This window comes from Homo sapiens, chromosome 8 (genome assembly GCF_000001405.40).
Source record: "Homo sapiens chromosome 8, GRCh38.p14 Primary Assembly".
Classification (NCBI taxonomy): domain Eukaryota; kingdom Metazoa; phylum Chordata; class Mammalia; order Primates; family Hominidae; genus Homo; species Homo sapiens.
In genome coordinates this window covers 227,683-252,483 of record NC_000008.11, presented here as the reverse complement: position 1 = coordinate 252,483, position 24,801 = coordinate 227,683, and the positions used below count along the sequence as shown (strand labels likewise).

The following is a 24,801-nucleotide window of genomic DNA, read 5'->3' as shown; positions in this document are numbered from 1 at the left end:
TTGCAATAATGTTTGGATTCAATAAAAATTGATAAACCAACATATTTATTCTAGACACGGTTCTTTACATTATAATGATATCATACAGTTAGATTTGTTGTGTGAAAAGGAAATAAAATGGTAAGAAGTTTGCTATGTGCAGGCTTTTATTTCCCTCTACCAGGATCCTAATCTAAGGGCTAGCTGTAGAATGTGTCTGAAGCTGCACCAGATACCCTAGATGACCCCCTTTTAGCTGTTCCTCTGAGATCTGTGCTCCCACTTCAGAGCCTCCCCAGTCTCCTACTTTTGAGGGGGACCCCACTAGTTCTTTGGTGCAGAATTACACTCCAAAGTCATCAGGAACCCCTCCCACTTATCCAACAAGCCCAGGCCCCTATTCCCCGCTGCCTGAAGAAGCCAGGTTCAAAAGGCCCTCCAAGCATATGGAAACAAAGTATTCCCCCCTCCCCTATTCAACCAGGAGATTAATAAAAGAATTAACCCCCCTATTCAACCAGGAGATGCAGTTTTGCTGAAAACTTGGAAAGAAATATCCCCTGAAGATCAACTACAACCAAAATGGAAGGCCCACTATCAGGTTTTATTGAGTACTCCCACCACTGTGAAACTTCAGGGAAGAACCAGTTGGGTATACCTGTCCATGATTAAACCTGTTTCTGAGTCACAGGCACAAAAAGAGGACATCATGACCTACATCTATGAGTTTTTGGAAGACCTCTGGTACCTATTTAAAAGATTCAACACTCAGCTAAAAGTGGAAATGTGATGCTGTGGGTGGGAATAGGAGCTTAATTTTTCTCTTCTTCTTAATTGAACTTCTTTTATGTTGCTTTAGCCAACTTCTGCAAAACACCTGTTTTGTCCTTGTTGGGTATAGAGACCATGCTAATGCCTAGCTGGACACCATGTTGTCACTGTTGATGTTTGCTCTTCCAATTACCCTGATCCAGTGTGGGTGAGAACATAACTCTATAGTAAAGATTTCTAAGATTATAGCATCAGGGAATCATCTTCACAGTTGTTAGATTTGTCATCAACATCCCCAGGATAGAGAGTTATATCTTCTGGCTTACCTGGAAAATCTCATGACCATCCCCCCTGGCCTCCTAACTAACCATAGCAATCCAGAAATAATCAAACCCCTACTAGTTAAGTGCAGCTCTCACCCACTTAATGTATTCCACTTGAACCCCTCCTCCACCACTATTCCCTGGACCTGGGAAGTTAGATATCCATATCTCCAGTGCACAAATGATTCTATCCTTTGCTCTCACGTCTGTGTTAATGACACAAAAGTGGAGTGATGCTCTCTGATCCAACTATAGTTGTCAAGTTTCCAAGGCTGCAGTAAGTGGGATTCCACTTGTAAGTGAGAAGAAAACATATATGGTGATTTCTGGATCAGAACATACAAAGGAGAAATGACTGCCCAGTCCAGGAAGGTGGAAGTACTGCCCACTTCTGGGAAACAAAGATTATCTGACCACCCCCACTGGAACAGGGAGAAAATATCTCTATAGACCCAACTTGACAGCAAAGAATAAACATCATACCCCATAGGGCTTCTGTTTGTGGCCATGAACGGGAATAAATCAGAATCTGTAACCACTCCCAACTCTAGGGAGTCACCTGTTCTTTTAGGAGTAGCTTTTCTTTGTCAAGTACTTGGAACAGAAGTGAATGTACATTGCCCCCCCTTGACTCACCAGGGGTCACTGTCTATAACCCCAATAGACCCAAGAATACCAGAAGTAAGCAAGCGATAGGATTAATTCTGGCAGAAATGAGGGCAGTGATAGGATTAGCAGCACCCTGGGGCAGCTTTGTCTACCATGACTTAACTCTAAGGAACTTGACTCAAACCCTTAGAAAGCTTAGCCACTATCACAGGTCAGGCATTAAAGGGAAATCAAGTCCTTAGACTCTTTGGCAAATTTAGTTCTCTATAAGAGACTAGTGTTGAATTATTTACTAGCTGAACAAGGAGGAGTCTGTGAAGTTATTAGTAAAACCTGCTGCATGTATATTAACAAATCTGGACAAGTTGAGATTAACATTCAAAAGATCTATGAGCAAGTTACCTGGTTACATAATCAGGGCACTGACTCCCAACTGTATCTGGTCATCTATGAAAAGTACCTTCCCAAGTCTCACTGGTCTTTACCTCTCCTAGGACCTTTGATAGCTATCTTACTATTCTTTGTCACTTCCTTGTTTAACCTCTTAGTAAAGTTTGTGTCTTCTAGATTACAAAACTTCCAGGTAAAGACAATGCTGGCAGAAGAATTCCAACCATCCTGTTTACTGACCCAGAGAATGAAAAAGTGTCCTGCCTGTGGGTCCCTTAGTTGAGGTACCCAGGGATTTTTCTTTTTTCTTTTTTTTTTTTTTTTGAGACGGAGTCTCGCTCTGTCACCCAGCCTGGAGTGCAGTGGCATGATCTTGGCTCACTGCAAGCTCTGCCTCCCAGGTTCATGCCATTCTCCCACCTCAGCCTCCCGAGTAGCTGGGACTACAGGCACCCGCCACCATGCCCAGCTAATTTTTTGTATTTTTTTTAGTAGAGACGGGGTTTCACTGTGTCAGCCATGATGGTCTCCATCTCCTGACCTTGTGATCTGCCCGCCTCGGCTTCCCAAAGTGCTGGGATTACAGGCATGAGCCACCGTGCCCGGCCTGTACCCAGGGATTTTTACTCCTCCAGTGCTAGGCAGGGCCTATGCCCATAAGCTCAGCAGGAAGCAGTTACAGAATACAGACTTCTGCCCTTCTACAGCACCCTTAAGATTAAGGAGGAATATCTAATCTCTGAGGAGAGGATGAGGTAGGGGGTGGGACTTGACTCCAGAGGTAGGGCTCAGACACTGGACCAGATTGAGGAGTAGCTAAAACAAAGCCATAGCAAAAGCAACTTTCCAGAGATACCCACCAGTCTGCCATATCTATTTACCACTGCCATGGCAATACCCAGGGGTTACCTCCCTTTCCATGGCAATGACCTGATGACTCAAAACTTACTAGCCCTTATCTAAAAATTTCTGCAGGAACCACTTCTTAATCTGATATCAAAGGAAATCTGGCTGTGCATGTGTGTGCTCTTACTATGGGTATCTTATACCTCGGCATCAACACAGAAACCCAGGACTGGGAGCAGGGACACATGTGGCACAGGGAGAAAATACACTGACTTCTGTCACAGGCCAAAAGAGCCGGGCCTTATGGTCGCATGTGGTAAATGAGGCAGCTGACACCAATGGATTTAATGTGATGTTAAGCTGTGAACAGTGGAGAACTTTTTCGTATAGAAATAGTCATTATTGTGAAAATTCTGATTTAATTATTTCACCCATAAAAATAGAATAAGCATTATTTGGCTTAAAATATTTGAGTAAAAAATTTTTGTTCCCAGCATGACTGTGGATGTTATTGGACCAACCCACCATTAACAGTAACAAAACTTAAACGAAATACATGAAACAGCTGCTTTAGGCATGAGGGTAGCCTGTTCGGACAGGATTTTCTGAGGTAGAATTCATGAGAAAGGGGAGAGTCAATGAAGTATCACACTGGATTTTCTCAAGCACTTGAAAATTAACATGAAGGGAACATAAGGTCCCAGAAGAAAGATGGCCTGTCTAGGCGGAGGAAAAATAAGCTGACATTTTTGTTTTGTGCAAAATAGTGGGGTTTCTGCTTCTGGGTAGGATGGAGTGAATAAAGATGAAACAAAAAAAGAAAAAAAAAACAGATTAATTTAAAGTGTAAGCTTTAGAGGCTAGAGAGGAATATATAAGCTAAGATTCCATAAATAGCCCTTGTGAGAAGTGAGAATATTAAACATTTACACACAGAACAGAAAGGTTCTTAAAGAAAAAAAGCCCATGGCAACAAAAATCTCTGTTATGATGCTCATACCTGATTCTGGGAGACATTCATGCAAATGTAACCACAATTATCCAGCACTGCCAAATTATATTTAAATAGATTCATTTGTAATTAGTTTTATTTTTGCAATGTTAAATCATATAATATATTGCCTATACTTATCAATACTGTATTATATACTTAAAAATTTGCTACAGGTTGCTGTGATGTAAGTGGTTTTATCACAAAGAGAACAATGAAAAATGAGGGAAGGAAATTTTGGAGAGAATGAATGTTTGTGGCACAGATGGTGGTGGTGATGGTTTCCTGGGCTTATCCTTATCTCAAAACTTATTAAGTTGTATACATTAAGTAACAGCTTTTGTCAATTACACTTTGATAAAGTGGTTTAAAAACAAAAAGGCAAATTTAAGCACCATAAGACTGTACTTTTAAAGTGAGTCTTTCATAATCCATGTTTGACTTAATCATTACCATGTACATATATACCACTACTATAGTTAGGACCTATAATTTTGTGTTCTATGTGTATTAGTTCCATTGAATGTCACTGTCTTTTTGTTTTGAGCCAGAGTCTCACTCTGTTGCCCAGGCTGGAGCGCAGTAGCATGATCTTGGCTCACTGCAACCTCCATCTCCTGGGTTCAAGTGATTCTCCTGCCTCAGCCTCCTGAATAGCTAGGACTACAGGCATACACCATCATGCCCAACTAATTTTGTATTTTTAGTAGGGATGGGGTTTCACCACGTTGGCCAGGCTGTTGTCGAATTCCTGACCTCAAGTGATCCACCAATATCAGCTTCCCAAAGTGCTGGGATTACAGGTGTGACCCGCCATGCCCATCCGCATTTTCTAACTGACCCAAATCTATGTGTTTAAAACTGAATTAAAAACATAGAGTTTGGGCCGGGCGCGGTGGCTCATGCCTGTAATCCCAGCACTTTGGGAGGCTGAGGCAGGCAGATCACGAGGTCAGGAGATCAAGATCATCCTGGCTAACACAGTGAAACCCTGTCTCTACTAAAAATACAAAAAATTAGCCTGGTGTGGTGGTGGGTCCCTGTAGTCCCAGCTAATCGGGAGGCTGTGGCAGGAGAATGGCATGAACCAAGGAGGCAGAGCTTGCATTGAGCTGAGATTGCGCCACTGCACTCCAGCCTGGGTTACAGAGCGAGACCCTGTCTCAAAACAAAAAACAAAAAACACAGATTTTAATAAACCTATTAGATTATTCAGCAACAACACTTAATGCTTGTATTTTTGACAGTACTAATTTAATCTTATTACTTCTTACATAATTCTGCATTCAATATTCCCAGGTTATTTCAGAATTGTACATTTCAACCCACATATTTTAAGTAGAAAGTCTTTATTCAAAATTATAATTTTTTTCTCAAGCACGTGCTTGATGGCTTTATGTTTTGTCCCCCAGCTATACATCTCATCAATGGCTTTTTAGAGTTTTCATCCCTGTCTCACTTTTTTGACATAAAAGCTGCCTGAAGGTTTTTCCACTATCCTGTCAAGATAGTTTTCTCACTGGAAAAATGCTGGTATTGACTAAGGAATGAGTAATTTACTGAGGACTACCCTCCATTCATGTCATTGAGAGTTCTACACCATGTGAATTCTGATCTATTATAGAAGTGCTGCTGTATTAAGAAAAGGATTTCTCATGAGTTTTCATTGAATAACTTCTCCACTATGAATGTCTGGAATTGTTCAAGAGGCCTCATCCACCTAATAAAAAATATTTTCACATATTTCCTGTTTTTATCAGTTACCTTATAATGAATTTTCTTGCACACACCAAAATTGGTGCTTAGCTGAATGAGAGTGCACAGCAATTACAGACATATGGTTGCTTGCCTGTGGATTTTACTCATTTGTTTAGAGGATAAATTATCAGCAAAGGCATTTTCACACTGACGACAGGCACAGAATTTTCGTGATGTGATTTCTCCCATTTATTTAACAGAGCTGTGGATGAAGACTCCTCCACATTCCTTTGATCTATAGTTTCATTCTCTCACGTTGTATATGGTCAGCCTAGAGTCTGAAGTTTGTGCCATAAACATTAAATACATCTGGATTCTCTCTACCTTGAATTCATTTAGGTTGAGCAAAGTGGTAAATATAAATAAAGGCTTTTCCACACTGATTACAGACATAATATTCCTGTAGTATGTTTGTCCTTGGTGTATTTAGTGTTAACGCTACAGCTGATGATTCTTACATATTCATTGCTTTTTTAGTGTGAGTTCTCTCATGTTGTCTAAGGTTAAAAAATTTACTAAAGGCTTTCCCACATAGAGGACATACATATGGTTTCTCTCCAGTGTGAACTCTTCTATGAAGTCTAAAGTTGTAACTTCTATTGAAGGCTTTACCACATATATTGCATTCATATGGTTTCTCTCCAGTGTGAGTTCTCTCATGTCGTCTAAGGACAGAAGAGTGATTGAAGGCTTTTCCGCATAGATGGCATTCATATGGTTTTTCTCCAGTGTGAGTTCTCTCATGTCGTCTGAGGTCAGAAGATTCAGTGAAGGCTTTCCCACATACATGGCACTCATATGGTTTCTCTCCAGTGTGAATTCTCTCATGTCGTTTAAGCACAGAAGATTCAGTGAATGCTTTCCCACATAGATGACATCCATGTGGTTTCTCTCCATTGTGACTTCGCTCATGTTGTCTAAGGTGAGAACAATGAGAGAAGGCTTTTCCACATAGATGACATTCATATGGTTTCTCTCCATTGTGAGTTCTTTCATGTTGTCTAAGGTAAGAACATTTACTGAAAGCCTTCCCACATAGGAGACATCCATATGGTTTATCTCCTAAGTGAGTTCTCTCATGTTTTCTAAGGTCAGAGCAATGAGTGAAGGCTTTCCCACATAGATGGCATATCTGTGCTTTTTCTCTAGTGTGAATCATCTCATGTCGTCTAAGGTTAGAACTTTTACTGAAGGCTTTCCCACATAGATGACATCCATATGGCTTCTCTCCAGTGTGAGTTCTCTCATGTTTTCGAAGATCAGAGCAATGAGTAAAGGCTTTCCCACATAGATGACATCCGTGTGGTTTCTCTCCAGTGTGAATCATCTCATGTCGCCTAAGATTAGAATTTTTGCTAAAGGTTTTCCCACACACACGACATTCCAATGTTATCTCTCTAGTGTGAGTCACACTGTGTGGTCTAAGGGCAGAGTTTTGGATAAAGGCATAATCAAATAGATGACTTCCATATGATTTACATTTGGTGTGAATTTCCTTGTGTTGATTAAAGGATAACCAGTCACTGAAGATTTTCCCAAACTTTTTGCTTACAAAGTGTTTCGTTCTCATGTAGGTAATCACATTTTGAGTCAATGCTATATGTTGAGTGAAATCTTCTCCTAAGTCATTGCATAGAAAAGGATCCTCTTGAGTATGAGATCTCTGGTTTTGGGAATGAAATGAAAGACTATTAAAGGTTTATCCACACTCATTCATTACTTCATTCATTTCTCTACATATTAATTCTAGAATAATCATTCAGTGGTAGACTCCAGTTACAATTGTTCCTATATCAGTTATACAAACGTAGTATATTATCTAACTGCATGTAGAGAGTTTTCCTGTTGTAGCATCCCAACTGAAGAGCTATCTGACTAGTTATTAAGACTTTATCATGTTTGAAAGTTTCAGCACGTAGTCAAGTTTGTACAGTTGTCCTGTCATAAGGCCTCATATTATGGTTTTGATTTGAAGTTAACGTCTTCACTAAATCCAAACTATCTAAAACTGCTGGGAGGGCTTTAAGTACAGTCAGGTACCTGTACCAAATTCCAAAGTTGTTTAATGTCCAGGTTTCTATATGTAAGAACAGGGTTTGCATCCATAAAGCTTACCATTGTGCTGATGGTGGACGTGCCCTTCTGATAGATATGTTGAATGAATGGTATCTCTTGATGTTTAATGCCAACTTCTCTACCTGAAATAAATGAAAAAAAAAAGATGCTATATAGGCATTAGGGGAATAAAAATGTTAAATAGCTCCAAAGCCCATTTGAGTGTGTTTCAAATACACACAGACAGGGAAAGAATGTTAAATTAACCATACTTTAAGGAGAAGAGTATTATAGCACATTGACTACTGACATTTTCAGCATATAAAAAAATAAAGGCAAGTCGAGGAAGGAAAGAAAAATTTTCAAAGAAGAGGACCATTATAAAGGGCTAGTATGTAATAGTTTAACTCAAATAAGTACACAAATATCCCCTTTACAAAAGACAAAGACAATGACAGAGAGATACTTGAATAAAAATTGATACCTACAAAGTATAATGACAATATCTGAGAAATGTTTCCCTCAGGTTTTTGCCTACATTTCAGAAACACTGCAAATTTAAGAAACCTTCCGGCTGGGCGTGGTGGTTCATGACTGTAATCCCAGCACTCTGGGAGGCTGAGGTGGGTGGATTTCTTGAGGTCAGGAGTTCAAGACCAGCCTGGCCAACATGTTGAAACCCTGTCTCTATTAAAAATAGAAAAAAATTAGCTGGGCATGGTGGCGCACACCTGTAGTCCTAGCTACTCGGGAGGCTGAGGCAAGAGAATCACTTGAATCTGGGAAGCAGAGGTTGCAGTGAGCCGAGATCACGCCACTGCACTCCAGCCTGGGTGACAGAGTGAGATTCTGTCTAAAAAAACAAAAGAAATCTTCCTTTGGCAACTGTTGGGTCCTACTCACTCACTGGCCATGTTTCTCCTCCTCCTATTGAAGCACTGCTTCTTAGAGCTCACCTTGCAGTAAGCTTATTCTTTGTGTTGAAAGTTTCTCTACTTGCTCCAATTGGGAAAGCACAACTGATTTGCAGAGCTGTTTGCCTGTTTTGGGGAAAAAGATACATGGATTTTGAGTTCTGTGCTGACAAATGTACAAGGTTATCAGATACAGGGCAGCCTACTGGGAAGGATAAGTTAGCCACTGAAGGTCAGCCTGGGAAGAGTACCTTGAAGACAACATTGACAGTCCTTCACGAGCAAAATGAAAACTCTTGAACTTGTTCCCAGACATAAAAGACCTATAATTGCTGATGGCCATGCCTCACTTCAAATACTGATTTCAGAATCCTCAGTGTTTTCACTTAGTGAGAAATTACAAATTGTCATAGTATTTGACATTATATTAAAAAACTATGCAATAAATATTAGCTCCACCAGAACAATCTAGGTTCTGTGCAGAACAGTCCCTATGATAGAATAATTACTTTAAAGAAATCAATACATTTATTTATGCATACCAAAGCAGTGAATTACCATAACTTTTCTGAGTTTGGGAGATTAAAGAGCAAGAAGGATGTGAAACTGTGGTCAGAAAGATGACTTTCTAGAGAGAGGACAAATCAATATAAGTGAAAAGGAAAGAAATGGCTGTCAGGTAATTGTGAGAGTTATGAAAGGATCAAAGCAGAAGTTGAAGTGATAGATGAGAAAGCTGTTCTAAGCACGTGTAGAATGAAAGAATGAATCAGTGAAAAATGAGTGAGTGAATGAATCCGTATATACATACATAATAAATATAAAGAGACTCACCAATAGAGACCAGATGACTGATGTTCTCCAACATCACATCTTGAAACAGCTTTCTCTGGGATGTGTCCAGCAGGGCCCACTCTTCTTGAGTGAAGTCTACAATGATATCCTCGAAGGTCATGGAATCCTAAAACATTATGGACATTCTACTGCAAACAGGGCTATCTCTGCCAATGTTCAGTGGAGCAAGATCAAAGTGACTGTACTAAGGAAGTGTGGGTGGTATGAACAGAAAACTCAAAACAGTGTTTGGGGTTCCTGTCACATTGCTTTAAATCTGAACTGGGAATCTGGCTTTCAGATTTACTCATACATAAAACTTCACATAGAGAAATATCACATGTGGTGTGGCATAATATAACCTGAAGATTTCCCAATAGACTTCTAAAGTATAACTTACAGATACTAATTATGAAATCTGTACTTGGAAATTTAGAACTAAAATTCTCCTCTCCACCACCTTCAAGAAAATCTATAGACTCACTACAAGGGAGGCAGCATCCATAATTTGTCACGTTTTAATCAAGACTATAGTTAGATATTCCACTATAGGACCTCAGTGTCCTCAGAATAAAATAAAGACCTGTTATGAGTTCAAAAAGGTCCAATGAGATAGTATGTAAAGTGGTTCCTATCTATCACTTTTTAGATACAAGCCACAAATACATTATTCATGAAATGACTGAGAACACTCAGTTGTGTGAACAACTTTCATATAGAACTTGGTATCAGCAGATGCAGCCTCTTATGTCTACACAACTCAGGTGTTCACTGTTAATGGATAAGGATGAATGGCTCAGCAGCACAAGCCAGGGACTCTAAGACTTCAGTACTGAAAGATGGTCTCATCCTGCCACTTTCCATGGTCTGAGGATTTCCTTTCTCAATTTTATGTGGGATCTTCAAACACCAGGTGATATAGTTTGGCTCTGTGTCCCCACCCAAATCTCATCTTGAATTGTAATCCCCACATGTTGGGGGAGGGGTCCGGTGGGAGGTGATTGAATCATGGGGGTGAACTTCCCCCTTGCTGTTCTCATGCTAGTAATATCTCAGAAGATCTGATGATTTAACAGTGTGTGGCATTTCCTGATTTGGTCTCTCTCCTGCTGCCTTATGAAGAAGGTGCTTGCTTCCCCTTCCACCATGATTGTAAGTTTCTGGAGGCCTCCCAGTCATGCTTCCTGTTAAGCCTGCAGAACTGTCAGTCAGTTAAACTTCTTTTCTTCATAAATTACCCACTATCAGGTAGTTTTTTATAGCGGTGTGAAAATGGACTAATGCACTAGGTACTATTCTATTTTGTTTCTTCATGTTGTCTCTAGATTTAGGGGAAAAAAAATCCTTTGATTGTCCTGGTCTCTCCACTTCAAAAATTTCCTCAGAGTTTTAAATTTACTCTGTTTCCTATACTCCATCACTTAATGCACAACCAAAATTAAAGAAACAACACTCCAGTTGCTTCCAGTTATCAAATTTGATCAGAGGTTAATTTGGGGACAAGGGTAATAAGAATTTTAATTTTGCTTTTTAAGTTTTTCAAAAGTTCACATTTATTCTCTCAAGACATTAAGATTTTGAGATAGGAAAAATAAATGAATAATTCCTCATTGTCTCCTCTGTCCTAACCCTATCTGCTTTCCCTTCAAGTTAAACAGCCCTCCCCTAACACCTGAAACACTAGACTAACTGAGCTTGCCTTTGTATGGGCTATAACCTGCTCTCACTTATTTTCACCACCTACCCACATATACTCTCAAGCCCACTCCTGCCAATAACATAGGTAATGAGTGAATTTATTTCCCCAACAAGGCCATGAGAGGCTCGTAATGAATGATTTCCCTGAGACTGGATGAGAGAAACAAAAACCTCTCACATCTTAATACACAGCCTTAGTAGAGGCTGGAATGCCTTAGTGTACTGTTGAAAGGACATTACTTCTTGATGACTCTTTGAGCCAATGTAAACATTCCGAAGCCCTGGGGAATCTTAATTGGAGCTTGGATCCTTGAGTGCACTTAGAACATCCATGTTAATAGGATGAATCTGCCCTTAGGCTGGTAACAGGGGTACAAATTTCAGTAGAAAGAAGAATTTCCCACTCACCGGTGATGGCATTGTACTAGCTCAGCCACCAAATGTATTCCTCTGGGTTTTCACTCACACCATCCAAGCACTAAGAAGACAAATCTGAGCAAAAACAAAAACAAAAACAAAAAAACCATGACACTCCAGTTTTGCTTCTAACATCTGCCCCAAAGCTATTAGCCCCAGTCCAACCAACAAGGACATGCAGTGGGTAGGGGGTGGGTTGGGTTGGTGGCTCTCCTCTCCCAGGGTCAGAAGAAATGACTATTGCTGCTAATAAAGATATAAATATTTTTATTTTAGACCTAGAAATGTGAAAATCATGGAGTTTCATATGCCACCTAGCGCATGGAATTCTGAAATGTTTAATTCCTTCTATGATTCCAAATCCTAAGAATCCCTGAATCATGGAGATGTGGCTCCACCTACAGATAAATCCTGGAATTTCTCAGATTTAATTATTCTCGGTTTGTGTGCTTGCAGGCTTTCTCCACATGCATCTCAGCCCTCAGGAGCCTCCCTCCATTCCTTCTCCCTTCTGCTGGTCCTCTGGATACACTTGTACTGAATGATTCTGTCTCTTCCATGTGAGGCTTCTAGAAATACCAGTCCCTCAAGTCTGACCTGTAGATAAATGTAGCATGAATTTATCTACCAAGCAGCTTCAAATTTCATTTTATCATGGTGGATTCCTTAAAAGACACACTTTACAAGTGACATACCTTACAAGAAATGCTAAAGGGAGTTCCTCAAGTTGAAATGAAAGGACACTAAGAACATGAAAACTTGAACATGTATGTGACATTGTTAGTTGTAAGAAATAGATAGTTTGGTTTTCATCCCCAGTTCCTGGCACAGAGCCACCCAAAACCCTTGTAATTTCCTAAGCAACAGAGTTGCTAGGAGAAGCTTTTGTTCTTTTTGGTCTTTGACCCTGGTTCCCAGTACAGAGCTCGTAATGCCTTGGAACTTCATAGGTGATAAGAGTGTCTTCTGTTCTAATGAGACAATTATTACTAGGCTCTAGGATGGGGGGTGATCACCTGAAAGACCATGACTTGATCAGAAGCTTGGAACGTACAGTCCCACCCCCTATCCTTTGGGAAAGGGACAGAGGCTGGAGATCGAGTTAATAACAATTATGCCTACTTGATGAACACCACATAAAAATCCCTGAATGATGGGATTCCTAGAGCTTCTGGGTGGGTGAAGAACACATCCATATGCTGAAACAATGGTACCCCCCAACTGCTTGGAGACAGACCTCCTAAACCTAAGATGCTTCCAAAACTTGCTGTATGTAACTCTTTAGCTGGCTGTTCATATGTAATATTTAAAATGTCCTTTGTAATAAATCAGCTAAGTAAACTGTTTTCCTGGGTTCTGTGAGCTGCTAAACCCTAGTGAATCTAACATAAAAAGGAGTTCTTGCCGGGCATGGTGGCTCACGCCTGTAATCCCAGCACTTTGGGAGGCCAAGGCAGGAGGATCACCTGAGGTCAGAAGTTCAAAACCAGCCTGGCCAACTTGGTGAAACCCCAAAACCCCGTTTCTACTAAAAATACAAAAATTAGCTGGGCATGGTGGCAGGCACCTGTAATCTCAGCTATTCGGGAGGCTGAGGTATGAGAATCGCTTGAACCTGGGAGGTGGAGGTTGCAGTGAGCGGAGATCGAACCACTGCACTCCAGCCTGGGTGACAGAGTAAGACTCTGCATTGGCAGTGGGGGCGGGGAGGAGTTCTTAGGACCCTCCAATTTTTAGCAAAGACAGACAGTTTCTTCACTTTTAAAAAATTCTTTTTCTACTTGCTCTTCTGATTGAATAATTTCAAATAACCTGTCTTTGAGTTCACTGGTTCTTTCTTCTGCTTGATCAAGTCAGCTCTTGAAGCCTTGTATTGATCCAGTTCAGTTACTGTATTCTTCAGCCCCAGAATCTATATTTGATTCTTTTATTATGGTTTTTCTTTGTTGATATTCTCATGTTGTTCATGTATCCTTTTCCAGATTTTACTTGTTATCAGTGTTGTCTCATAGCTCATTGACCTCCTTTAAGGCAATTACCTGTAATTCTTATCAGGAAAATCAGAAACCTCCATTTCTTTTTCTTTTTTTTAAAGCGGAGTTTCACTCGCGTTGCCCAGGCTGTAGTGCAACGGCACGATACCAGCTCACTGCAACCTCCACCTCCTGGATTCAAGTGATTCTCCTGCCTCAGCCTCCTGAGTAGCTGGGATTATAGGTGCCCGTCACCACGACCAGCTAATTTTTTTTTTTTTTTTTTTTTTTTTTTTTGTATTTCACCATGTTGGCAAAGCTGATTTTGAACTCCTGGCCTCAAATGATCTGCCTACCTCGGCCTCTCAAAGTGCTGTGATTACAAGTGTGAGCCACCGCACCCAGCCAGAAACCTGTATTTCTTTATGGTCAATTATTGGAGATTTATTTTGTTCATTCAGTAGGGTCACATCTTGATTTTTCAAGGTTGTGCAATATCTCCCAGTCTCACAGAGCTGTGCCAGTTGCTATACGATGCCCTGTATTTTTCCTTAGAGCTGTGCTCTGATAGCCTGGGACACGAAATGCATATTTCATTACTCTCCTTTCCTCCACTAGTCTCACGTATTCTCCTTGGGGAGAAGTCTAAGGGGTCTGTGCTTTCTACCAGTCTCACAGAACCATGGGGGCCACCATAAACCTCCACACAAGCCTCCTAAAAATTCTCTACCTTGGCTCAAGAGTATGGGAGTCACGCTGCAGACAATGGAGGTATAAGAAAGACATCCAAGGCCCCTGTGAGCTTCTCAATCTCCACAGGCATCACTAAAGGTGGGTGCTAGACTGAAAGGCATGTCCATCCTCATGGGCAATCTCAGGATTCTCTAAGTCCTCCAAGGAGGCCAGCAATGGCTTATGTGGGCCTGGGTCACCCCTGCCAGCAGGGACTAGTACTAAGGATGAGATCCACCAATGGCCACAGCTGAGTTATGCCAAATGAGATGTCCAGACCTCATGGTGCCTAGGAAGACAGATGGCAGAAGCTCAGCCAGGCCATGGAGATTAAAACAGTGCTAGGGGCTTAATGTATGTTTTTAATGGGTCTGCTACATGTCAAGTTTGGATCTGGAGTCCAGCCTATAATCCTAGCAAAAATTAAACACCAAATATGATATTCAATAAAGTGTATGTGGCTAAAAACATACGTTGGAAATACACATAACTAGAAACATCCAAATTCAAAGAGAAACTGCTAATTCCACAAACATGATAGAGTAATTTAATAATGAGATCACACATACATAAATAGTAAATATGAACTGTATATTTATCTGAGTTCTAAAGACTTTTTTTTCCGTCTCAGTACACTAGTGGGTATACGTCACCAGTAAAATCAAAGGGGTATTCCAATTACATTCATGATATTAATAAGTATGATAAATGTAAGTAGCCAGAACCATGGAATTGGGGCTACAGCTGTGATCTTCAAGAAACGTAAAACTTTAAAAACACTCATAAACCAAGAAAAAGATAAAACAGGAGTTACTTGACTTTCCAAATTGTTACAAATTCAGTACATATTAATAAGACTTAAAAAGATAAAACAATTTAATAAATAATAAAATAATGTAATGAATGAACAGATTTGACAGAAATCAATAATTAAAAAGTTTTGAGAGCAAAATCATGAAACTGAAAAGACCCACGGTGGAAAGAAAAAACACAGGTTAATAAAAGAGACTGTATTTATTTAAAAGTAGTAATTTAAAATCTAAGAAATGGGAATAATTATATTCCAACATGAATATGTATATTACTTTCCACAAAAAGAGTAAAAACTTTCCCTCATTAATCAGCACAAAAATCTGATTAGCCAATTTTAATGTTTAAGTTATATATCAGAGTTTAACTGTAAAAGTGATTTGTGAGAGTTCTTACATGTGAAATCACTTCTAGTTCCTTTGTAACCTAAGTTATTTTGAAGGAGAAAAATAAGCCTGTCCTCATTAGTTTATTATGCTAATCAAAATGAACATGAATGTAACAATAACTACAAATTTAACCAACAATTTTCCTTACTTACATTTGCAAAAATCATCAATACAATTTTAGCCATTTGGCTATTTATTTTGGCCACCTGGCCATCACTGGTATGGTTAAATAATGACAGAGCATGGTAAAGTGGAGTTTATTGCAATAATAAAAGGATAATTCCATACTAGAAAACCTATCATTTTCACAAAGTAATTTTAAAGATTAAAAAAATCACATTAATAGACCTTTGAAAAAACATTTTCATATAATTTAAATCTTTAAAAATAATATAAAATCTTTAAAAATCATACCAAATTGTGGGGACTAATTCTTCTTAATCAATAAAATCTCAACAATATATTCAGCAGTTAACAAAAGAACCATTTCCACTAAAGGTAAGGCTGGAAAAAGGAGGCTGGGTGAGGCTGATGCCATTCACCACTGCACATGATGCCTGAGGTGGGACCAAAACAAGAGGGAAAAGGAGAGGGACTACAAAAATGGAGTCAAAGAGCTGCAACTGTAGTTATTCTCAGATGACGTGACTGTAAACTTGAAAAAGTGGAATCAATTCTAATTATCAATACTAATAAGAATATTTAAAAAGTGGGCAAAACTATTATGAATATTCTGAAATCAATATTTCCTGTTTAGCAACATTAGTCCTTAAAAAAAGCAAACACACAAAATCAGTGTCTATTTACAACAGGCAAATATTATGACTACGATTTGAAATAAATTTGTAGACCCATGTAAATAAATTTTAAAACTTAATGAGGATATAAAAATGACATGAATAAAGCCTGAAAATCCTATTATTAGAATGGAGGACATAGTGACATAAAACCTCAGTGACTGTAGACTCAGGGCAACCTAGACTTAAAAGTCCCATGTGGTCTTTTACATGTAAAAAATGAGAATTAGTCTAAAAGTCAATTTTGTCTAAATTTTGATTTTTGGTGAGTATACAGTCAAAATAGTTGTGAAAAGAAAAAAATAAAGTTGTCAAATTTCATGTAACCTATGTTATTTGGAAATTTAAAATAAGTCATATAAATATTTATAACAATATTAAACAATTTCATAAGTGGACTGAATAAAACATAATATTTTATCATATACAATAGCTCCTGCCTTCCTGAGGAAAACATAAAATCAAAGGGCGTGAAGGAAGGATTTTGGTTTCACTGCAGAAACATAATAAGACACCGAAGTGTGTGTTTGTGTGTGCGTACATATAATTAAACTACAGAATATAAAATAGCATCTAATATACATCAAAAATGAGTTTCATAGAAAAATTCATTTTACACATATGTCTATAAAATAATAAAATTTATTCAGCCTCACAATTACTTTGTGAACTGGAAATAACAATGAGTTGTCATTTTATCCAAATCTAAAAAAAAAAAACATACATACAGTATCAAGTTCTGGTTAAAGTAGTAGATGAACTTTATGTGGTACATAAGAGTATCTATACAGTTTGTGGGCTGCATCTTGCTAGAATATATTACATTATAAAATGCACCATTTATTTACTCTGCGATCAAACCCCCAACTTGCCCCAAGTGGAGGAACCCTCAGACATTTGCAGAGCAGTCAGTGTGCTAGTAAGCAGCATTCTTTACAAATCTATGAACATCAAGGTCTCCTTGGAACAGATGTTCTGTGAACAATTTATAAAACTCCCTCCTGTTAGACACTTAGGTTGATTCCATTTTTAAATCAATTACTGAATAAAACACACTCCATCGTGTGGATGAAATGCTACCTTAATTTGTCAAAGCTATCATTTTCTAAACTTTTCTTTTTAATTCAAATCATTAATATTTTGTGGCCAGATCAATACTGATTCATTGTTTTAAGCTTCAAATGCATTATACAGTTGGGCAGAACACATTTCCTCTCATCAATCTTCTTTTCCAGGATTTGTCAGATATTCCTGACATTAATTCACTACTAATATGCACAGTTTCTCTAATCATGGTCAACAAAGATCTGACAGTGCATTGTCCCTAAACGACCCATACTTGCCTCACTGACACCATGTGGCCCACTTCCCATCTATAATCTATGTCTGGGTGTGAAGCCCTTCCCATATGATCCCCCGAATGGAACTTCACAAGTTCGAATTCACTGGGTCACAGTGTGATAGCGTGAAGATGGGAGGACGTTAAGGGAAGGCTATGGGTGAGTTGGGAAATGTGTTAGGCAGGGTCAGAGATTACCACATCCTAAAAACAACACTTAAGGCGGGAGATGACAAAACAATCAATGAATAACATGACTTTTTCCAGTGAAAGTGCCATATCTAATCCTTTTCCATTTTTGTTCTCTGAGCTTCTTTCTTAGGGAAGATCCTTCTTGAGAAGCCCCTGCTGAGTATTAGGAAAATGCATTTCAGGACCTCTCATCAACACACCCTCTTTCTTTACCACAACCACATATATGGGGGCATAACTCAACATGTGTAAAAGACAATCTTCTGCTTTTCACTGAACCTCCAGGAATTCAGGACAATAAACCTCTACATGCAGACCAACAGGTGAGTTTTTCTGCCCCTTCTTTCATAACACCGTTCTTCCCTAGTGAAGTCCACACACATCCTTACATGGCAGCTGTGGGTATATCAACTGGTCTGACCCCTTTTAGTCACAGAGCCTGAAGTCTGCTAGTACCTGCTGAGCACAGTGTCATGGGTGAGAATGGGCAAGGCTTTTTCTTTCTCTGGTTCCTGAACTTCCCAGGCTCTCTCACTTCTGGATCCTGAATACCCAAATCCCAAGCTTCCTTCCCAGAACCAACACCTCCTCCTCATTAGAAAGATACCTTTGTTGTGTGCTTACTTTATAAAGTCTTGCTCTTTCCCTGTCCACTGCCTTGTGTCACTATGTGTGTGTCTTGGGGCCGGTGGAAAGGTGAACAGAAGCCAGTAGAGAGTAACAAGCACCAGCTTCACAGGAATGGCATGACCTTAATACGATAGTGGCAGTTTTCCCTTAACATCCCTGCCCCCTAAAGATTTCAGATCATATGTCACACTCTTAAGTAACAGCGATTTGTCTTTCACGGTTTTAATCATATTGATTAAAAGCATTTGTCTTCTCCAGAACATCACATTAAGTCATCAAAAAATATAAACCTTAAAAAGATGTAATTATTGGAACTGAAAAACATAAAAGGTGAGCTTTGGAAATATCTTTGAGCAGTCTATTCATTATGAACACATGTAATCTGTTGGAACAAAGTTCTAGGACAATCCAGGTCATCCTTCAATATTTGCAGAAAACAGCACAAAGAAAACTTGATACTTAAACTTAGTTGGAAACTTTATGCCACAGCCATTAAATACAGAGATCATATAAAGGAATAGAGGAAGCTGTTGAATACTAAACTAACTCAAATCATCATTATCCTTACGAAGTGCACACTGAATTAATGTAAAAAGCATTTAGTAAACAAAAAGTATTTTCAATATACAATTAAGACTGAAAAGTATTGAGGCCTCATAAGCTGAACCTGACACAATAAATTTAAAAGGGAAACTAATTTGGAAATCAGAAAACCATCTAAAGAATTTGGGAATTAGGCTTCTGCTGCCCTCTCTGCTACTGACGGTCAAGGCCTCCTCATTGTATTCTGTCCTCCATATCTCTGCTGATTCCCATTTTGTCTATTTCCATTTACCCCACTACTACTTGCTCAGGTCACTCTCCTTCATTGTCGGTGTTTGTTCAAATTCCTCAGACCCATCCACTTCCCATCTAAACTTCCCTCCCCTTTTCTCGCTCGTTGGCTCTACCTCCCTCCTCTGTTTTCTCCTCACTCTCCTGCCCCACCTCGACATCCACAGCGAGGCAATGAAGAAGCCCCTGCCAAGGAAGAGCCCGCTTCTCAGTGGGACACCGGGAAGGTAAACACCCAACAGTCACCGCTAGTGGGAGGCGATTGTGCAGAAGCACGAGGGTTGTTACAGGATCGGGCAGGTCCCCTACCCCAGTCTCGGACTCAGGGTCCTGTCTGAGGCGGCCACCCCGAAGCGTGGGGTTTGCGGAGACGTAGGGCCTGGCGGAGGGAAGGATGGGGAAGCATCTCAGGGAGGACTGGCGTCTGCCGAATCCCAGGGCTGCCCTGAGGGGCCAAGAGGGGCGAGGGTGGGGACGATGGAAGACAAGCCACATGCCGAATCGGGACCTGAGGCCGCGCGCGATAGGATGGGCGGACGGTGAAGAGAACTAGGGTGGAAGGGCCGGACAGGGGCGACCTCAGTGACGGAACCGGACACAGACGCAGATCTGGCAGCTGGGCGACAGGCTTCGGAGCATTTCCGGGCGTCGCGGGACTCCCCGCCGACAGGAGGGCGGTTGCCGAGCCTGTGACATCCGCGGAGACCAGCAGACCCCGGGTGTGGAGGACGCCGCAGGAAGGGAACTGCGTGGCTGGGTTTGGCCACAAAAAGCGGAGGGCACTCACCCGAGCGGACCTCGGCTCCGGAGAATCCGTTTCCGGGTCAACAAAAAACGTCGCGCGAGGGGCGGGGCCCGTACGTGCAGGGAGGGGAGGCAGAGAAAAAGGCGGGGCCGGGCCGGGGCGGGGTCTCGGGCAGGGGCGGGGAGCTTACCGACCTCCCGCCCCCGCTGCGCGCGTTTCTGGCCCTGCCAGTGTCTCCGCCGGTTGAAAGCGCGTGTCTGCGTCGGGTTCTGTTGGAGTGCGTTCGGTGTGCCGTGGGTCCGCGCTGCTTCCACCCAACTTCCTGTTAGGTAAGAGGCGCGTGAGGCTCCTGTGCCGGGGGCGGTGCTGCTCCCGAGTCGGCGCGCGGCGGGGACGCGAGTCCGTAGGTGCTGGCGGGAGCGAGAGTCGGGTGGGGACCCTCGCGAGCCCGCACTCCGCCTCTGGGTAGCAGCCTCTTCGGCCCCACACGGCGTGACGCGCGCTCGGGCTCCGCGTTCGCGTCGAGGCAGAGGCGTAGTAGGGGTCGGGCCCAGGGCTGGAGGGGCCGGGACCGGGCGGGGTGCCGCCCTGGACACCGCGCCGGCAGCTGTTCCGCGCGGGTTCATGTCATTCCTATTTTCAACCTGTCCTGCTCCGCACCTGAGATGATTTATAAATTCGGTACCTTTGGGACAGGCGTGGATGACATCCCATAATTTACTTCGTTATTAATTTCTAAATGTAATACATACCACTATCTAAAAGTATTTTTTAATTTGAAATATATTTGTATACGTATACATGTATATTTATTTATTTCTGAATTTTATCTCGTACATATAATGAGGCTCGTAAAGTGGATACTGTTCAGGACATAGGTGGATTTTGCTTTTAAGTAGTAAAGACTTAATTGGTGACTTACTGGGGCTATTTGATAAGGATTTTTTTTTAATGAACATTAAAAACAGTGAAATTGTATTTCCGGATTTCGTTAGCTTCATTTATATCTTAATTGGTGAAAACTGTAAGTTAATAACTCATTTTTATTTCCTTTGGAGATTCTTAAGTTTGTGCTACCAATGATTATTTCCAAAAAAGGCACACTTCTGGTTTTCCCAGAACTAATGCTAGCTTCTCAATCTTTTGAGTTTACTTGATATTAATGTTTGACCTCAAATCATGTCACATTTTTGAAGAAAACTTTCTCTTAGCCAATGGAACATAAACCACCCTGGAGTTCATATAGAGGAGGGGTTCAAATGCCTCTGATAGTGTCGTGTTAAAACTCATGGCCAAACGCAAGGTCACATAGCTTTCTTTCTATGTTTCCCTCTAGAATTTGTATAGTTTTGTCATTATAAAATGGGTCTTGTCCTAGACCCCAAGAACAGGTTTTTGGATTTCACATGGGAAAGACCTTTTGGCAAGTCACAGAGTATAGTGAAGTTAAGATAGTTTATTAGTGACTACTCAGCTACATAGCAGGGCGTCCTCAGAAAGCAAGAGGAGAAATGCACCTGTTGTAAACATATAATTTTTTTTTGAGACAGAGTTTCTCTCCTGTCACAATGGCATGGTCTCGCCTCACTGCGACCTCTGCTTCCTGGGTTCAAGGATTCTCCTGCCTCAGTCTCCCAAGTAGCTGGGATTACAGGTGCGTGCCAATATACCCGGCTAATTTTTTGTGTTTTTGGTAGAGACTGGGCTTCACCATGTTGGTCAGGCTGGTCTGGAACTCCTGGCCTCAAGTGATCTGCCTGCCTCGGCTTCCCAAAGTGCTGGGATAACAGGCATGAGCCACCCGGCGCCCGGGCTTAATGTTTGTTTATATAGGTTATTAAGAATCAGTTTGTGACAGGCTATTAGTATTGTTACTTCTCTTTGTTACTGTCGATTTTAACAACAATTTATGTGTGTACTGTTACCTTTAAAGTAAAACTTATTTTTAAACTAAGAATGCTTTTTGTTCTTAAAGTTCTGGGACATTTAAATAACTTTCATGTCTTTATTAACTTGTTCCCACAATCATAAATATTTTATAACGAAAAGTGCTCAACCCCCGAAATATATAATCCAACAAATTTAACGTGTGTGTGTGTGTGACAGAGAGAGAGAGACAGGGTCTCACTCTGTCGCCCAGGCTGGAGTGCAGTGGTGCGATTATGGCTGGCTCATTGCAGCCTCGAACTCCTGGGCTCAAGCAATCCTCCCGCTTCAGCCTCCTGGGTAGCTGGGACTACAGGTATGTGCAAGCATGCCATCTAATATATATATATATTTTTTGTAGACATAAGGGTCTTGCTATTTGCCCAAGCTGGTCTTCAACTCCTGATCTCAAGTGATCCACCCGCCTTGGCCTTCCAAAGTGCTGGGATTACAGATGTGACCACTGCACCCTGCCCAGATTTAACTTTTTAAAAGCCTTTATTTGAAATAAAGTCACTGTGGTTAAGAGGCCTCTGACGGTTTTGCATTTTAAGTCTGAGGACTATGTTGAGTGACTTTTTGCATAAGTTGTAAAATGTGCATTCATGTTGATTTCATTTCCTATGGTTTCCAATTAATTGTCCCTTCTGCATTTTTAGAAACTCACGGGCTAATGGGCTCTGTGTCAGTTTGCATTTCTAGAATGATGGCGCCGAACACTCCATGCTGTCTTTTAGTTGGTGCAGCAGGAGGGGTAGCAGAGGGCGCTCAGCTTCCGACAGTGCCTTGAGCTCTAGGGCGCTGCAGTGCCCCCGGCCGCCAGCAGAGCACGCGCGAGCCCGGCTTTTCTGAGCCTTGAGGCGGCCGCATCCCGCACGCTTCCTCCGCGCCTGCACCCTGCAAGGGCGGGAGCCGCGTTCTCCTCAGCACATACCAGGAAACGCCCCTCGCTTTGGGACACCTTGAGCCGGCGGCGTCCATGGTTGAGTAAAATCCTTCCTGTTTTCAGCCCTGACTGCTGAGGGGTAGAGACCCTTCATGTGGAAAATTAGAAACCAAAATCCCCTGTGAATCCAGCGCACTCGAGGTTCATTCTCCACACCCAAGGCGAGGCGGCCACAGGGCCAAGCTGCGGTCTTGGAACAGAAATGTAGTGTCAGGAAAGCAACTAGAACACCCGCCACACTGACAATAACCTCTGTAGTGCTAATAACACTGCATCTGTGATGCTAGTGTTAGCACCCGTCGTATGCAGAGAGCACACCCGTCGGGGTAGCTGCCTTCCACATCCAACCCCGGGAACGTGGATGTGTCCCTCAGTGCGCACATAACGCTTGGAACGCGGAGATGACATCGTCACCTAACGCTACAGCCGTCACACTCATATAACCCCCGGAACACGCATGTGTCCCTCAGAGCACACACGTAACCCCTGGAACGCCCGTGACACAGTCAGACTCACGCCACACCCGTCACACTCATATAACCCCCGGAACACGCATGTATCTCTCAGAGCGTACATACCGCCCGGGATGCAGACATGGCCTTTGCAGCCCACACGAGAGGGTCTGCAGCTCTGAGGATGGAACCTTCCGGCTCTCGCTGGGGCGCTGAGTTGACAGCCTCTGCTGGGCTGGGTTTGGGCTGCATTTGGCCTCTGTCATGAAACTTCATGGTGTTGTCTCTGGCTTACTGACGTGGTATTGCCACGGTTGTTTTAAAAAGTAGTTTACTTCCCAATAATGTCATACTTCTGGGAAACTTGCAACAGCACTTAGTATGCCTTCTCCTTGATCTCCAGTTCCCCAGCCGTTATTGCTGTGCCAGATTTGCAGCTTCACAAAAAATACCCCCGTGTGTTTCACCAAAACCAGGAATACTCCTCCAGGTGATCCCCAAGTAACCCCCAATTTAGGAAATACATGGTTTCTATGTGAAAGTCCACTCCACAGACCTATTTCACTTCACTCCCTGCCCTAGGTGGGAGAAAAATGTCTATTTCCATGCGGGCCCAATTTTCCTTCTCGGGAACTGTTCCTGAGACTCAGTGTTCTGTTTTTTGTTTTTTTTGAGGGAGTCTCCCTCTGTCACCCAGGCTGGAGTGCAATGGCGCCATCTCTGCTCATTGCAACGTCTGCCTCCCATGTTCAAGATATTCTTTTGCGTCAGCTTCCCGATAAGCTGTAATTACAGGCACCTACCACCACACCCGGCTAATTTTCTGTATTTTTAGTAGAGATGGGGTTTCACCATGTTGGCCAGGCTAGTCTTGAACTCCTGACCTCAGGTGATCCATTCGCCTCAGCATCCCAGTGTGCTGGGATTACAGGCGTGAACCACTGCATCCGGCCGACTCTCAGTTTTCACAGCCTTAACAGATGTAAAGAGCAGAGATGACTCCAAGCTGGGTCTGCCCAGCGTTTCCTCCTAAACGTGTGCAGATCCTGTGTTCCTGGCAGGAGCATCCTGGCGTGGTGCCGCGCTCTCCTCACTGCAGCCCACTTGGAGGAGCACCCGTCCATCCCACCACCACTGGCGATCTCACTTGGAAATGGCAAATATTCATTTACAATCACAAATTTCATCCTGTCAAGCTTCGGATTTCACTTTGCCAGTGGTTTTCACTGGCCTTAGAACCGTGGACTCCAGACACCGAGTTCTCCTGCCTGCTGTCCTCTCCCATCCAGTCTGCTACAGCTGCCTGCAGTCCCACTCATGGGGACATGGACTCCCAGGTGTCTTGGGGATTTTATGTGGGTTCCCTCAACCCATTCACCCAGTGCTGACCGTAGTTTTTTAAGGCTTTTTCTAGATAAGTCCTTCAAGTCACAGCAATTACGATATCTAAA

The 24,801-nt window shown here is 41.8% G+C and overlaps 1 protein-coding gene and 1 pseudogene across 10 annotated transcripts in view, besides 2 other annotated features; one reads left to right on the top strand and one right to left on the bottom strand.

Moving 5' to 3' along the window:
• Positions 1-5,143: 5,143 nt before the first annotated feature.
• Positions 5,144-20,347, bottom strand: ZNF596 (zinc finger protein 596). Of its 9 annotated transcripts, none has more exons than NM_001287255.1 (6): positions 20,217-20,347; positions 11,577-11,660; positions 9,471-9,597; positions 8,679-8,762; positions 7,783-7,865; positions 5,144-7,330 (listed from the first exon to the last, which is right to left on the bottom strand). In NM_001287255.1, exons 2-6 carry the CDS (start codon positions 11,586-11,588, stop codon positions 6,122-6,124), a joined length of 1,515 nt encoding a protein of 504 aa, NP_001274184.1. In that variant the 5' UTR covers positions 11,589-11,660; positions 20,217-20,347; the 3' UTR covers positions 5,144-6,121. The 9 variants fall into 9 exon arrangements, with proteins under 9 accessions (NP_001274184.1, NP_001274185.1, NP_775810.2 ...); NM_001287256.1 differs by having other exon boundaries at positions 20,221-20,347; NM_173539.3 differs by having other exon boundaries at positions 20,069-20,284.
• Positions 19,822-20,141: an enhancer, noted in NCBI's record as "active region_26938". NCBI's record gives its function as "activates an Ori minimal core promoter by ATAC-STARR-seq in GM12878 lymphoblastoid cells {active_cell/tissue: GM12878}" and the evidence as "EXISTENCE:reporter gene assay evidence [ECO:0000049][PMID:35858748]".
• Positions 20,162-20,261: a silencer, noted in NCBI's record as "silent region_18877". NCBI's record gives its function as "represses an Ori minimal core promoter by ATAC-STARR-seq in GM12878 lymphoblastoid cells {active_cell/tissue: GM12878}" and the evidence as "EXISTENCE:reporter gene assay evidence [ECO:0000049][PMID:35858748]".
• RPL23AP53 (ribosomal protein L23a pseudogene 53) overlaps positions 20,166-24,801 on the top strand; it is a 23,975-nt pseudogene continuing 19,339 nt past the window's right edge. Inside the window, exons 1-2 of the transcript NR_003572.2 lie at positions 20,166-20,355; positions 21,577-21,680. The product of NR_003572.2 is annotated as a ribosomal protein L23a pseudogene 53 (transcript). The remainder of the gene's footprint in view (positions 20,356-21,576; positions 21,681-24,801) is intronic.

Bases quoted from the DNA above. Each gene is read 5' to 3' on its own strand.
- ZNF596 (NM_001287255.1), bottom strand. The intron at 7,866-8,678 runs GTGAGCTCTAAG...CATTTATTTCAG, and splicing joins AAGAATAAGCTTACTGCAAG to GTAGAGAAGTTGGCATTAAA. The intron at 7,331-7,782 runs GTAAGCTTTATG...TCCCAAAACCAG, and splicing joins CGTCCACCATCAGCACAATG to AGATCTCATACTCAAGAGGA.